Source organism: Homo sapiens, chromosome 12 (genome assembly GCF_000001405.40).
Source record: "Homo sapiens chromosome 12, GRCh38.p14 Primary Assembly".
Lineage (NCBI taxonomy): Eukaryota > Metazoa > Chordata > Mammalia > Primates > Hominidae > Homo > Homo sapiens.
Window position 1 is genome coordinate 90,096,841 of NC_000012.12, and position 15,781 is coordinate 90,112,621.

Below are 15,781 nucleotides of genomic sequence, written 5' to 3' on the forward strand. Positions count from 1 at the left end.
GAACAAGCTGAATGATAGCTTTGTTCTTTTTCAGAAAGGGAGTATGATTTTAAAAAAAAATCTTGTTATATAAATCTTAAAAGGAAAACCTGCTGGGCCCTGATAGTGTGCAGATCACTGGGGGCAGAGAATAGGGTGCTGATTTAGGTCTTCAAGGTGAAGGTGCATAATCCATTAGTGTCAGGCTGGAAAATAGACCCCCAAAAGATATTCATGTCTCATCCTTGGAACCTGTGAATGTTAATTTATATGGGGGAAACAGGGGCTTCTTGAAGATGTGATTAAGAATCTTAAGATGGGGAGATTATCCTGGATCATCCAGATGGGTGTTAAATGCCATCACAGGTATCCTTCTAAGGGGGGGATCAGATGTAGAATACACACACACACACACTAGGAGAAGGTGATGTAAACAGAGGCAGATATTGGAGTGAAGCAGCCACAAGCCAAAGCTCTGGCAGCCATCAGAGCCTGGGAAAAGTGGGGAACGGAGTCTTCCTTAGAACCTCTGGAAGGAGCACAAGCCCACCAACACCTTGACTTCAGCCCAGTGAAACTGATTTCAGATTTCTGGCCTCCAGGACTGTGAGAGAATATATTTCTGTTGTTTTAAAACACCAAATTTATGGTAATGTGTTACAGCAGCCACAGAAAACAAATACACCATTTCTGTCAAAGAGACAGCCTTGGAGGGAGAGGAGTCATTCTCCTGAAGTTTTCATGGTGGCCTGTTTAGGGTCCTGTATCTGCAGAGACTTGCCTTATCTGTCAGATTATTAGGACTTGTCAATAGTCTTCTCTGTCCAGTTTATAAGGCTATGTGTCCGTAACTGTACTGTGTGGCAAAGAAAGGCGAACACAAGTGAATCAACCCAACCCCATGCTCTGACTGCTTAGACAATCCCATCTTAACTGTCATTGTGTGATCTTGGGAGTTAATCTTTTTAAGCTTCCCTACTTCATAGAACTGGTAAGTGAGGAGAGATATAGAGCAGCCAGTTTGGCCCCAGCATCTATGCATGTTCCTTCTATCCTATGCTGACTTTCTAGTGAGCTGCCCGTTAATATGACAGGTGAAGGCTTAGGTTGGTGAATTAAGAAATGAAAGTTATATGACCTATTTACAAGCCAAGTTTGTGAAGACATTCATAAATGTTCCATCTGTAATTCTAATTTTGAATCAAGAGGCAAAAGCCATTTCCTCGAAAAGATTATTTATGTGTGCAGGGCTGAATGAAGCTAGCAATTTTTTGCTTAGTGTCCTTCTTCTGTTTTTTGTTTTCCATTACAAATGAATGTTTAGAGACACTCTGTTTTCCTTCTTAAATTTCTCTGTGAGTTAGTCAAAGAAGAGTGTGTTAGAAGAGCTCCCTTCACTAGCAATCAACATCAATTGTGACTCCAAATAGTACTTTAAATCCTACTTGTTCTACCTGCCACTCAACCAAAGATTGTTTCTAGAGGTCACATGCCTCCACTTAATTACTTCCGTTCCTATTCATGCTACAGAATAGGAACTTACTGATCTGTCTGGTGGGCATTTTAGTTTGTATAAATTGAGATTCGAGAGTTCATTTGGATAAAATAAGATGCTGGCTAAAGTTCAAAGCAAACATTTGCTGATGCTTAAAACCACCTTGAGACCAAAAAAGTTTACACTCCCTGGTTTCTCTAGGGAGTAGGGTTTGAGAAAACCACAGACAGTAGTTATTCTTGGAAATCCTGCTACCAGGCAAATGCCATAGGGCAAGGGCCCAGAGAAGCTGAGCTTCTCTCCCATGGCTAAAGGCAGAGCTTATCCTGACTGGAATTGCTTGGTCAGGGTTTAGAATCCTTCCTGCTGATGGAGAGAGAGGAGGAAGCTGAGCAAAAAGAAAGATGACTAGACTGGCTCTTGGAATTATATCCTAGAATAGCTGCCCAGTTTAGGTCTTCTCCTGATACTACTGACTTCCTGGAAGCCCTCTTTACACATAGTCTCTGGTTATTCCTTTTTTTTTTTTTGAGATGAAGTCTCACCCTCTCACCCAGGCTGGAGTGCAGTGACATGATCTCGGCTCACTGCAACCTCCAGAAAACTCCGTCTTCTGGGTTCAAGCAATTATCTTGCCTCAGCCTCCCATGTAACTGGGATTACAGATGTGCACTACTGTGCCCAGCTAATTTTTGTATTTTTAGGAGAGACAGGGTTTCATCATGTTGGCCAGGCTTGTCTTGAACTCCTGACCTCAAGTGATCCACCTGCCTCGGTCTCTCAGTGTTGGGATTACAGGCGTGAGCCACTACACCTGGCTGATCCATGGTTATTCTTCTTGTGTACCCCTTTCTACCAGGATATATAAAGACAGTTGAAGAATGTATCTGCCCCGAAGTTTCTACTTAAAATAGGCTTTGGTGGTTTGGGATTAAAGACAATTTGTATCTCAGTTCACTTAGGATCTGGGATAAAAATTGAAGTGTTATAACTACCTGATAATATTGAGAATATTAAAGAAGTATAGTGTGATTCTTAATAAGTACCTTGACACCTTTCCTTCAGAGCTCAGGGTGATTCAGTGGCCATTTTTCTTTGTGTTTTCTTTCCTGTCTCAGTCTGATATTACAGAGCAAGTTTATGTTCTGATTAGGAAAAACTGCAGTTCACTAAGATGCTATATTTGCTATTCAGTGAGTCATACTAAAAAGCCTCATGTTCTTAAATGACATAAGGAAATGGAATCAGGAGAAAAATCATGATCACAAAATGCACCATTCCAAAAATCTAGAGTGGGACAGAAAGATCAAGCATCTAAATGCAAACCTCCTTTGAACCGGAACTGCTATAACCAGGGCAGCAGATTGCTTGAGAATGGACATTGATTTTCCCAGGCAGAGGGTAAAGTTGTAAACAGTGGATTGTCTACTATTGAAAAACTCTTTCAACATGTTCGGTGCAGATCGGCTATCCTTTAATATTCAATGTACAGCACCATATCCACACACACTATAAATGTACATGAGCGTCAGTCATTTATCTCTGAATTTTCATGTTCCAACTCCAATACCTAATGTTTTAGAGATGCTTGGATGATTACATCATAAGGTCCTCACTCAATATATATTTTCACCTTTTTTTTCTTTTAATATACTTGATTTGTTTGGAATCTCCTTTCGGTTTTTTTTTTTTTTTCCAATGTGGGCAAGTTTTTCAATAGGCTTTGGAATGGGGCTGCAGTGAATGGGAAATGGTTAAACTGTGGTTACATGCTAAGTGACTGGCTTAGGGAATGAAAAAGAGAAAAGGGAGTCACCGATGGAGCCATCAGTCAGCCAACAAAGGTAGGAGCATAGCAGTGGGGAATAAAAACAGATCCAGAGAAACAGAAAAAATAATAAGTTAAAAGCCAATCTGAGTGGCACCTAATAAGAAAAGGAGGCTCATCTATGCATCTCAAGGCAACAATCCAAATAGGGAAGAGCCCAGAAATAGTTGATTGGATTTATTTTAAATAGTAAGGAAATAAGGAAATAGTAATAATAGAATAGGCAAATGTGGGCAAAATAATGAGATAATATACATATTGGTGTGCTGCTGGTGGATATTGTTGAATATTTAATACTATGTGAGCTTTTTGGGGCATGATAGTAAAGGCATGCGGTTATTGCAGCCAATTGGAAGCAAAAACTATCATAAGAGAGTAATGATTGTTGTTGATAGGTTTCTTTTTAAGTAGAGATACTATGATCAGGTTTATGAAGTGAGAGAAGACATCTGTGCTGACTGTACCAGAGTCTCATGACTTTGTATGGTTTGCTGGGGGAAATGGAAAACAACAGCAACAACAAAAACCTAACTTCACTAGCTCCTTGCTCTCTATTGCAGGAAATCCCTGAAAAACCAGATGGCAGAAGTTACTCAGAAGAAATGAAAGGATTTTCCATTATTCAAATAGGAGGTGGAAGAGGAAGTGTGGGAGTAATTACTGGATTAAGATCACTGAAAGACAAGATTGTCTTTAAGGGTGAGTCCTTTGGTTGGTAAACTTCATATAGGAAAAATTCTCAAGTGGTTGCCAAGAGCTAACCTTCAAGATGAAGTACACAAACCTGCTGACAGGCAAATATGACTCTCAGGTTCATTTCAAACTGCCCATACTTATTAAAGCTCTTCATTGCTCTAGGTCAGGGAAAAGTTACATAGGGTCCCTGAATATACTTCATATTTCATTTCTAAATCTGAGTTCTGATGGGGTATGTGTGTATATGTGTGTGTGTGTGTGTGTGTGTGTGTGTGTGTGTGTGTGTGTGTAGAGAGAGTAGGAATTCTGAGACCTGATAGTGTTGACTCTGGAGTTTGATAGGGATAATACAAAGAGAGAGGCATATAAGGAGGAACATAAAAAAAAATTGAAGACTAAGGACACACCCCTAGCTAGGAATACACATGACCCTTTTGCCACCCAAACCGTACCATTGCCATTTGAATCACTACTTAACTAAATGGTAGAAAGCAATTACAGTAAGTGCTCAACTTAATCACTTTGCATCCATACAGAGACCCCTGGGGCTTCTCATAAATTTCATCACACAAAGTGTCCACAATTCTCTGCCTTGCAGAAATATGTTTCTTACAAGGATTTGTAGGTGGCTTTCCTACTAAATTTCTGGACTGTTAAACTCATTGTTCTATATTTCTGCTGTCTGCTGTTAAAAGGAGAGGCCAGCTCAGGTTTTGCATACTGTAGGAAGTTTGTTTTATCCATTTGGGAAATCAAGATCACATCTTTATGGGACTAGAAATTGTGGAGAACTCATTCCCTCCAACACCAACCCCTAGTGATCTCATTCTAGTGAGTAAAACCTCAGGTCAGTTGATTGTAAATGGATTTTTTTTTAAAAAGCTTAATTCAGGCTTTTATTGCTCTTGTGTTCAGTGGATTCATCTTGTGACTGGCTCCAGATTGTGCCCTTCTCCCATCCCACACCAAGCTGATTTGCAAATTCACACAATTGTTCCCAAGGAGAGAAAATTGATGACTCAGTATAAACCCATCACTACTCCTAGAAAATATAATTCATGAATGCATTCCTTATTCAAAAACATTTAGTAGCATTTCATAGGGAGGAGATCAGCATATTATCAGAGAAAAGATTCATGCCACATTTTGTTTAAAAATCTGTTTCATTACTTCACAGTCACACTTCAGTAGGCCATGCTATAATAGTTTCTTCTTGGCCTTTGAAATGCTTCCTTTGCTTCTTCTGCTTTATAGAGACTCAAAATGAATTATTCAGATACCTGTGAGCATTAAGAAAAAATGGCCTAATTTCTGAATAATGCCAGTATTACCTTCTTAGTTAGATTGTGGGAAGAATATGTGTTCCTTCCCCTCCCAGAAACACCTTTCCTAACCTTCTTTCCCCCTAATACATCCATTTAAAACTTCTCAGCCTTAGATTTTAAACTGAGATATAATTTTATCTGAGAGGGTTTTTCATCTCTCCTTTACATACCCAAATACGGTGTAAGTTGATCTTTCATCCTATAGAATTCTGTGCTCCTCCTCACAAATCCCACTTACCAAATTGCATTGTTAATAACGTGGTTACTTATCTGCATCTTTGCTTTAAAATGTACTTGGGGAGAGTTCCCTTTTAACCTGCATCCCCCAATCTAATGCTTAAACATAACAGGTGATCTAAGGATATCTTGGACAAATAGCTACCATGGAGAAATTCATGCCAGATACCATTCTAAATGTTTTACGTATTTAACTCACTTAAACTTTACAGTAACCACATAAGGTATGTACCATTAACATTCCCAATTTCAAATTGGAAAAATTAAGGCACAGTGAGCTTTCATAATATGTTGAAAGTCTTGTAGCTAGTAAATGGTATAGCAGGGTCAGTTCCCAACAGGAAGAAGTGAAGGGTAGGCAAAGTGTAGTAGGTACGCACTATATATTCAATAGATCACACTATGGATTACCCACATTATCTAATAATCAAGGTTTGGAAGTATTGGAAGGCTTGTTTTTATGAAATGCTCATTAATGCATTCTACTTCATAAACTGAATGTTGGCAGTGGAATTTTATTCCATCAGCACATTTGCATATAAAGTTCTTTAAATTTACTTTTTTTTAAATGCAAAAAAAAAAAAAAAAAAAAAAAAAAGCAAATCAACCAAACCATTTCCTCCCTAGTTTCGGCTGCAATCAGCAGTCATAAATCCTTAAGTGTTAAGTTATGTTATTTTTGAGAACTGATGTGACATGTCCTAGATTTCAAATGTAGATGCTGCAGAGGACCACATGAGTTTTTGAATAAAAATTGGTATAAAGGACATAAACATTAAGGAAGCAGGTAGAAAGACACAGCTATCTGAATAGAGTCAGATCTGAACTACTGCCACCTAGTGATTCAAGTCAACCATCAGCCCCCACACACTCACAGATATACACTAATTAGAATAAGTGACTTTTGTTGTGGCTTCTTCCTCACTCCAAATATCCTGGTAGCAAACTCTTCCTGCAACATTTTAAGGCCCCCCTCACATGCTTTAAAAATTATAGTAAAAAAGGAGGACAGAATGGTAGGATTGGGAAAGACAAGGGTTAAATGACAGAAGAGACATCAATATAAGGCAGAAACACCAGAACAGTCGTGTAAATTAGACGAAGAAAAGTAAAGATCAAAAGTAGTGGAAATTAAACATTATTGGTAATAGAAGAAAATAGAAAAATTGATGCAAAGATAAGAGAAGACAGCATGAAGGAAAGGGGGCTTTCTGATTTGTTTGTTTTTAAGCAAGTAACAGAAGATGATAAAACAACCATATGTGGAATTGTGAAATCACCTAACATAAAAAGACAGAGGGATAGCTAACACCAACAGAGATAAAGAAAAATGATGAATGAAAGAAAGTGAATGAACTGAGAGCTTAATCTTGGAGGAGGGACTTCGAGTTTTTTGTTGTTTTTTAAGTAATAAAACCAGAGTGGCATATTCCTTGTTCAATTTAATATAATTGGAACTATCCAACGTCCTAGATGTACAACTCGTTTTCCTTGCCATTTTTTCCCCTCCTATATCTCCAGTACCAATAGTCCTTCTTGATTTTTTTTCTTCATTAACAAAGTTTTAATTACCTTTTGGCTCCCTTGAGATACTTTTGAACTTGCACCTGGAATCATGGAAATGGGCTGTATCCCAAACTGAAAATTTATTTAGGGAATTTTATTATTATGGCACTCTTTGCAATCAATCATATTGAGCAGCCACCCCTTAGCAATGTGCATTCAGGTGACTACTGATACTCAGGTATTGTTATAGTTTGCTGCAGGGTCACCTACATCAGCAGCAAATAATGACACCTAACATGTACTTCATTTCATGTTTTGGAAGCATTTTAATGTATGTGATATTTTATTTCCCAAAATATGGTGTTTGGAAGACAGGGCTGGTAGCATCAGCTCCTTTGATAGATGTGGCATTTGGGTTCTGAAATGTGTCTGAACTTTTCCAAGTACTCGGCTAGTGAGCTCTTTGTCATCTGACTGTAAGTTTGGCAAATATGCTTTCATTAGCAGTATTTCTATTCTCTTTGAGAGAAGGGAAACTACTTTTCTTTGTTCCAAAGTAATATCGGAGTTTGAAGCCAGTGTGCACAAAGCTGGGAAGGAGGTGTTACTACCTCTTTTTTTTTTTTTTTACGGGAATCTCTTTGGAGAGAGATTGCTTTGCTTCCTCCTGAGGGACCTCGTACATTTGAAGGGTTTCTGGCCAGGTTGGAAATGAATTTGAGAAGCCTTTACCTTGTAGGTTTTCCAACATCTTTCTACGACTTCTTCCATTTTCAGATTCTATTGTGCATTGCCATACTGAGAGTATTACTTCCTTTGGTGATATACATGAGTGCATATATATATTTGTAAAAAATCGATCATTTAAATCTGTTCAAATGCCTTATCTGTGCAGAGAACTGTCCAGAACCCTACAGGGTGTAGAACAATATGCAAAATACTGCTTCTTATTTCATGAAGTTATAAATTATATAGAGCATTAGAATTGCAGTTTGGATAGATATCCATTGATTTATATTTTCAATAAATAATTATCTGGTATCAGCTATGTATCAGGTCCTAGATGCTATGTGCTGGGGATACAAGGCAAATACCACCCTGTTCTTACAGAGCTTATTGCTTCGGGAAGGATGGCATGAACATTACTCTTGCTCCTACACTACAGCAGCTACTCATAATTGCTTATGGATAATTCCAGGTGTTTATTAGACTTAACTTTTTTTCTAGTTAGGATAAAAGTAGTCCTGTAGCAACCCCTTCAATTGGTGTACTTCTTTGCAACTTCTACATTTGAAATCTAGGACATTTACTTTTGGTTTTCAAAGAAGAGTATAGCTTGGCTTTTAACAATTTGTTTTCAGTCTGAACTGGAAAAAAATGACCCAGTTCATCAGATTTACCTAAAATGGGAGGAAACAGTGATATAAATTGGTGCAAAAATATCTATTTAGTTCAACTTGATTTTCATGGATTTAGTAGCTTTTAGAGCTATAAGATTTCATCCAGTGTTCAAGTTTTGTAGACCAGAACACTGTTGAATGGATGAAAGGTAAGGGGATAGGAGGCAAAGGGACAAATTAAGAGAACTTAGCAATACAGGCAAGAGTAGTTAATGATTCACCTTGGTTGGCAGCTGTGAAAATTGAGAAAGATGTAAGTAGAAATAAGAGAGATTATGGAGGTAAAATCTGCAGAAATTAATATTGATTGTGAGAAAGGAAGGAAACGGAGAACATGCAACTACTGTGAGAATTTTTTTAGCCTGGTACTGTTACCAGAACTATGGACCACAGAAAGAGAAGTTATTTGAAAGAAATTATAGCTAGACAGAAGCTGCAGTGCTGTGTGACCTGACAACTTAAAAATAATATAAATAAGTCAGCAGGATGCCCCAGATGAATCTAAGCAGGGATTGAAATTTTGTAGCCAAGGAAACCTATTCTCTGACCACCAGAGGTCCGTGGGTATGTGTTCGTGAGTATGTGGGCTTTGGGGGTTTTGGCTGAAGAGGGAAGGAAAGGCTGGTGAAAATGCACTTGGAGAGAATAAATAGAGGACAGGATGGAGTTTCTTCTTTGGTTTTGATGCTACGACTAAGTTGATCTTTAACAGAAAGAGGGCAAGCAAAACCCATCAATAAAAGAAAGCAAGAAGGAAGAGAGGGAGGGAAACCCTTCACTGCAATTGGAATATTCATTTAGTCCATGTGAAACTCACCCTGGGGACTCTCAGTAATATTTTTGTGTGTGGGAGGGGAGCTCTTTTGGGAGCTGAAGCTCTTTCATTAGTGAATGGAGACAGGAATCAGGAAATGTAAATTACTATTATTATTACAGTAGTCCCTCCTTATCCATGGGGGGTAGGTTCCAGGACTTCCAGTGGATGCCTGAAACCATGGATAGTACCAAACCATATATATATACTATATTTTTTCCTATACATACATACCTGTGATAAAGTTTAGTTTATACATTAGGCATAATAAGGCACAGTAAGAGATTAGGCATAGTAAGAGATTATAAATTAATAGTATAATAGAATTATAACAATATACTATAATAAAAGTTATGTGAATATGGAGTATCTCGCTCTCAAAATATCTTATTGTACTGTACTCATCCTTCTTGTGGTGATGTGAAATGATGAAATGTCTCCATGATGATACGAAGTGAAGTGAAGTGAATGACATAGGCATTGTGATGCAGCGTTAGGCTACTACAGTATTGACCTTCTGACCATACATCAGAAAGAGGATCATCTGCTTCTGGTGATCTTGGATTATCAAGCTATGACAATGTTGATGGTTGCATGTCAGGAGCAGATAATATTAATGACTAACAGGTAAGTGGCACAGACAGCATAGATATCCTGGGCAAAGGGTGATTCACATCCTGGGTGGAATGGAGTGGGTTAGCACAAGAGTTCATCACACTACTCAGAATGACAAGCAATTTAAGAATTATGAATTGCTTATTTCTGGAATTTTCTATTTAATATTTTTGTACCACAGTTGGCCATGGAATAATGAAACTGTAAATAGAAAAACTATAGAGAAGGCGGAAATTTCTGTATTATTAATGTGACTTTTTTAAACAATAGGGTGATGATTACTGGAGACATCTGAGCTTTGGATAAGAAACTTTGAGAGTTAAACTATTAAATCAGCACACAATGAATCATAATAAAGATATAAAAATGGGTTTCCTGATCCATAGGACTGGGATATAACTTGACATATCTAATTGGATAAAGAAAATGTGGTACATATAGATGATGGAATACTAAAAAGCCATAAAAAGGAACAAGATCATGTCCTTTGCAGCAACATGCATGGAGCTGGAGGCCATTGTCCTAAGCACATTATTATAGGAACACAAAACCAACTACAGTTTGTTCTCACTTATAAGTGGGAGCTACATATTGAGTACACATGAACACAAAGAAGAGAACAATAGACCCTGGGAAAGTAGAGGGTGGGAGGAAGATAGAGATCGAAAAACTACCTATCAGGTACTATGGTTATTACCTTGGTGGTGAAATAATCTGTACACCAAAACCCGGGGATGTGCAATTTACCCATGTAACAAAGCTGCATATATACCCCCTGAACCTAAAATAAAAGTTGGAAGGACAAAAAATTTTAAATAACAAAAATAAATCTGTTAATTAAAAAACATTGATTATCTATGGAAGCCCGGAGGGTGGAAATAATATCCTTCATTGATTGAGTGCTCACGAAATGCCAGGAACTATGCTAAATATTTTACATAATTATCTTATTAATCCTTACAACCGGTGTTGATTTTTTTTTTCACATGAAGAAACAGAAGACTGAGAAGAAAAGAAGCTTGCTCAAGGTCACATAGAGCTGGAATTTAAATTCAGATCTATTATACTCTTAAGGACTGTGGAAGGGTGAGTAAGAATAAGTCACATATTTCCAGTGTTTTGCCCCTATGATCAAAATTACCCTTATTATGAAGATAGAAATGTCATCATATCTGGGCCCAACTACACTAAATTTTAAATCACCTGACTATGCCTTTTTATTCTGATTCTCTGATCTCCAATGAACTGTGTCTCTTGGAAAATTATTTGGTAGACATTGATCTTATGAATGTGGCAGTTGATTCCACCAATAAGCACAACCTCATTCTTAGTCTGCTTAAAAACTAAGATAATACATTGAGGACCAAGGTAATTTCACCCTATGACAACTCTGGAAAGGCAACTAAATGATATCTTCATTCATTTGCTTGTCCATTTGCTATTCTTCATGATTACTATGTGCAAAGCACTGTGCAAGTCATTGGAGATGCAGTGCTATAACAAGAGTCATATTTTTATTGTTCTCAAGACCTAGTATACTAGGAAATAGAGACATGGAAGAAATCTTTGTTCAAGTAGTTAACTTTAATAATTATTGTGGGACCCAAGAAGAATTGCAGGATGTGATGTAGGTATGGAATAAGCAAACTTATCTGATATAGGGAATCAGAGAAAGTTTACCTGTTGAAATTTCTCTGCATTACATTTTGAATATAAATGTGTTTCTGATACCTCAATAGATTTTTGGGAGATATTGGGCTTTTAATTAAAAATGACCAGTAAGTGATCTAAAATATCTTCCTGGAAGTTGGGGGAGAGAGAGAGAGAGAGAGAGGGAGCACAAGCTAGAAAATAATGCTGATAGTTTAAATGGTGGGAGTGGATGAAAGCAGACGCAAAGAGGAAATGACAGTCTTTGGGACACCTATCCTTAGAGGGCAGGAAGAAATTGAGAAACCAAGGAAAGTAAAGTTATAAAGTAACCAGAAAATAAAAAGTGCTGGCATAGTTCAGTATCACAATATTCCAAGGAAGATAAGATTTAAAAGAGGCAGGAAAGATTGTCACCAGGAACAAAAGCTATGGACAAGAGACATAGATTGAGGACAGGAACTGAAGGTTGTGGTAGAGATTACTGACCTATAATAGACCCATTCTGCTCTTTTCTTTTATAAGCAAATGGATTCCTGTTTCTTAGCTGAGCACAAGGTTGCCCAGTAAAAGAATTACATATATCCACCTATTTTGCATCTTTATGGGCCATATGAATAGTTCTGACAAATTACATAAACAAGAAATATTGAGTGGAGCCCCTGGTAAGTGCTACTCAAAAAAGGGGAACGTTTCTTTCTTACTCCCTTCATTTAGTTGGTTGCTTGGAATGTTGGTGTCATGCTAAGGGGTCCAGCAATCATGGTAGGCCCTAGAAGATGGATACTACATTCCTAACATTACAAGGACCTTGAAGAAGTTATACATCTTTCCCCTATTTTCTCCATCCTCAGTGAAGGGGTTAGATTGAATAAGAAAGAAGAGGGCTCCAATAGAAATTTTGAAGTGTGTATAATGGTGAAATATTGAAGAAGAAAATAAGAGCCTTTCTTCCATTTTTCTGACCAAATAATGATGGCACTTCCTGTCTTCTTTCACAGTGGGAAAGATAATATAAACTATTAAAAATATATAATTCTAGATCTTACTCTGTAACCTATTATTAAATTTTTGAAGGTAGCATTTTCACTTTTCTCACCTGTATGTTTCTCCATGGTGTCTAGCAGAGGCCATGTCAAATTGCAGAAACTTATCTATTCTCCGTGACCATGACTCCTGGCCATAACTGAGTGGATGGTGGATAGGACACCCGAGCCAAGTTGGTGCAATCATATTGGCTCTTTCAGGATCTTGGAATTGGGATTTAGAGACCTGTGACTTATATGAGTATACTCGGGAGTTATAAGGCAATGGCTGTCTTGTATGTACATAGGCAGAGACAACAGGTATGGAGAGAGAGAATGATAAAGCAGCCATATAGAAGAAAGACAGACCGTGTGTTCCTTGAGAGAGAGAGTGTGTAAGAGAGAAAGGTAGAGGTAGGTTGGGAGAGAGTAACAGAGAGAGAGAGAAAGAGAGAGAGAAAATGATAAAAGAGTAGCTACTTGGATTTTTGATCTGTCTCCAGGCCTTCTGAGGCCTGCTTCCATTTCCACATACCATCACTCAAGATAATCTCTGTGATGAGTCTTTGTAACTTGCACACCAAAAAAAAAAAAAAAAAAAAAAAAAAAAGTCTTCATGCATGATAAATTATTCCGTGCAGTTCCACAGAGATCTTCTAAGGGAAAGAAAATATAAGTCCACTTAACCCAATCTCAGAATGGCCTTATTTTAGTTTTGTGATGGTTGCTAGTGGTCCAGAGTATTTTTCAGGTTCCAAGGGAGACATGGAGATGTGGGACTATTCAAACAGCTGGAACTTGAGGATGTACTTGGGGCTATAGTTAGAGGTGATGATAGAAGTGAAAAAAGTGAATAAGATGCTCAACTTTTAATTTTACAAGCTCAAACACTCAAGAAACCAAAGCATCGTGAATGGAAAAGAAAAGATAGGGTACATTTCTAACTTTAAAATAATTATAATCTAGGTAGAGAAAAGTAAAATATACACATATGCACCCAGAACTAAATGAGTGCTACAGATTATAAGCATTATAAGATATAAAGAAGATAGCTATTATTGCTGGGCTATTGTTTTCAGGTATTAATAACGTCAGGTTTGGTTTAGGCTATAAAGGACAACTTTGCTCTCACAATGGAAAATGTAGTGACTTGAGGTCAGCTTTTCTACTGACTAGATATGTGACTGTGATCAGTCACTTTACCTTTCCAATTTCACAGCAGTTTCCTCCTCTGTAAAATGAGGGCTGTGTATTGGATTCATTAATTCATTCAAAACATAAACTTTCAGTGCCCACTGTAATGTATAGAACTAGGAATACTGCATAAATACCAGTCTTCTAAAAAGACTGTCACTCTGATGTGTCTATGAACAAAAGACAGTGGGAGGCAACTAAGCTGCCTACAGGTAAAGAAAAACTCCATTGAGACCATGTTTGGATGAATAGGAGTTGTTAGGTGAATCCGATAATGATGGAACCTTCCGGAGAAAGGGTTGCATAGATCATTGCAAATGTTTCTTGTAGCATTAATATTTTTATTTGCTTCTGCTTTGTTTAGAGGAGGAGGAAGGGAGTGAACAAATGTTGGGTAGGAGTTAAGCGTATGAATTGAAGAGAAGATAGAAGGAAATAATTTCCTGGGCTTCTTCAAACCCCTAAAATGTATTCAAAGTGAATTCCATGAAGGAAAATACATGAAAAAGCAGATAATTAAAACCTCCTTTGCCTCCTCTGTATTTCTGTCTTGTATAAGATCTTAGAGATACTGCAAAAATGATATAATAGGATTCATGTCCCTCATAGACGTTTAGGACTCCCATCCAGAGGCAGTGTGTGGAGTGCTTAAGAATTTGAGTTTTGAAGACAGATCACATGCTAGCTAACACCACCACCTACTAGTTGTAAGATCTTTAAAAAGTTTAAACTTTTTTGTGCCTTTGCCTTCTCATCTGTAAAATGGAGATGATAACAATAGCTACTTCCTATGGTGAGAATTAAATGTATTAAACATATAAAGTGCCTAGAACCAGCACATAAAAGCACACTGGCATTTAAAAATAATAGCATATTAGTTATTATTACCTATTATTCCATAGAGAGTTCACCACCGAGGTGAGGTAATGGCAATATGCCTCCCTACATTAGTGAGTAACCTGAGGGTGCTTCCCTGTGCCTGGTCTTCAATAGGGATGGCTTAGAATTTGCTTATTTAGTCATGATACAAAAGTATGTCCAATGAGGCCCTATTTCAGGCACGGTGAACTATATGAAAGGAGAAATAAATAAACCGTGAAGTACAATATTCCAACACAAGGCAGTACATTTTAAATATAAAACAAATATTTAGGAGCTCAGAGGAGGCAGATGTGACAGCTGCCTGAAACATCAGGGGACACTTCTTGGGTGGCATGGGAAGTGTACAATGACAGACATCATTTCAGGGATTTAAGTCAGGATTTGCCTCAGCTGGTTTGTGCACCCTCTTTGCATTCACAAGCCTTTCTTTCGTCTCGCCTGAGCTTTTAGAGCAAAATCTGATCCAGAGACTGTGGATGCTGGAGGAGCGTCAAGGCTGGGAAAGTAACATGCACTGTGTTCGCAATCAACAGAAAAGATATTTTTAAACAAAAACAATTTTCCAAGTTTCCAGGAAGAGAAACAAAAGGCTTTTCTAAAATGAAAGAAACTGTTCTTCTCATTCTGTGACTTTTATGTCACTTGGACAACAAGCCAGTGCTTAGGAACGGTTATTTTCCTGTCGACATCGCTGCATGGATACTTCTTAGAAGAACATAACAGCATTAGCACTCAGTCCCAGGTTCTGCTCACCCTCCAATGGCAGTCGTCTTCAAAAACAATAAAGATATCTGTGCTTGGTCTCTCTGTCTTGATTACACTGCAGGCACAACCTGTGTGGGGAAACAATATCCTGGATCATACTGAAGGTTCGCACAGATGGAACATTAGTGGGAGGGGTTGCCAGCTACTTCCCTGCCAACTTGTTAGTGCTGGAGACATTATCCTCTTATTTTGCCAGTTTAACAGAAGATCAGTCGTAAAGATTCACTGTAGGCTCAGCAACATAATTATTATCTATGGTCTCTGCATTAACTGTGAGAAAACATCATAGTCTGAATCTGCCTAATTTCAAATGCCAAGCTGTGCCCACATTCAGCCCACAACTGAACCTGAATACTCAATATATCCTTAG

General features: G+C 37.8%; 1 long non-coding RNA gene across 1 annotated transcript in view; it reads left to right on the top strand.

The window, feature by feature from the left end:
* The window catches only part of LOC105369890 (uncharacterized), a 192,148-nt gene extending 176,699 nt beyond the window's left edge, over positions 1-15,449 (top strand). The window contains exons 11-13 of the long non-coding RNA XR_001749246.2: positions 3,863-4,001; positions 9,736-9,907; positions 10,888-15,449. This is a non-coding gene — a long non-coding RNA (uncharacterized LOC105369890). The remainder of the gene's footprint in view (positions 1-3,862; positions 4,002-9,735; positions 9,908-10,887) is intronic.
* Positions 15,450-15,781: the final 332 nt, after the last annotated feature.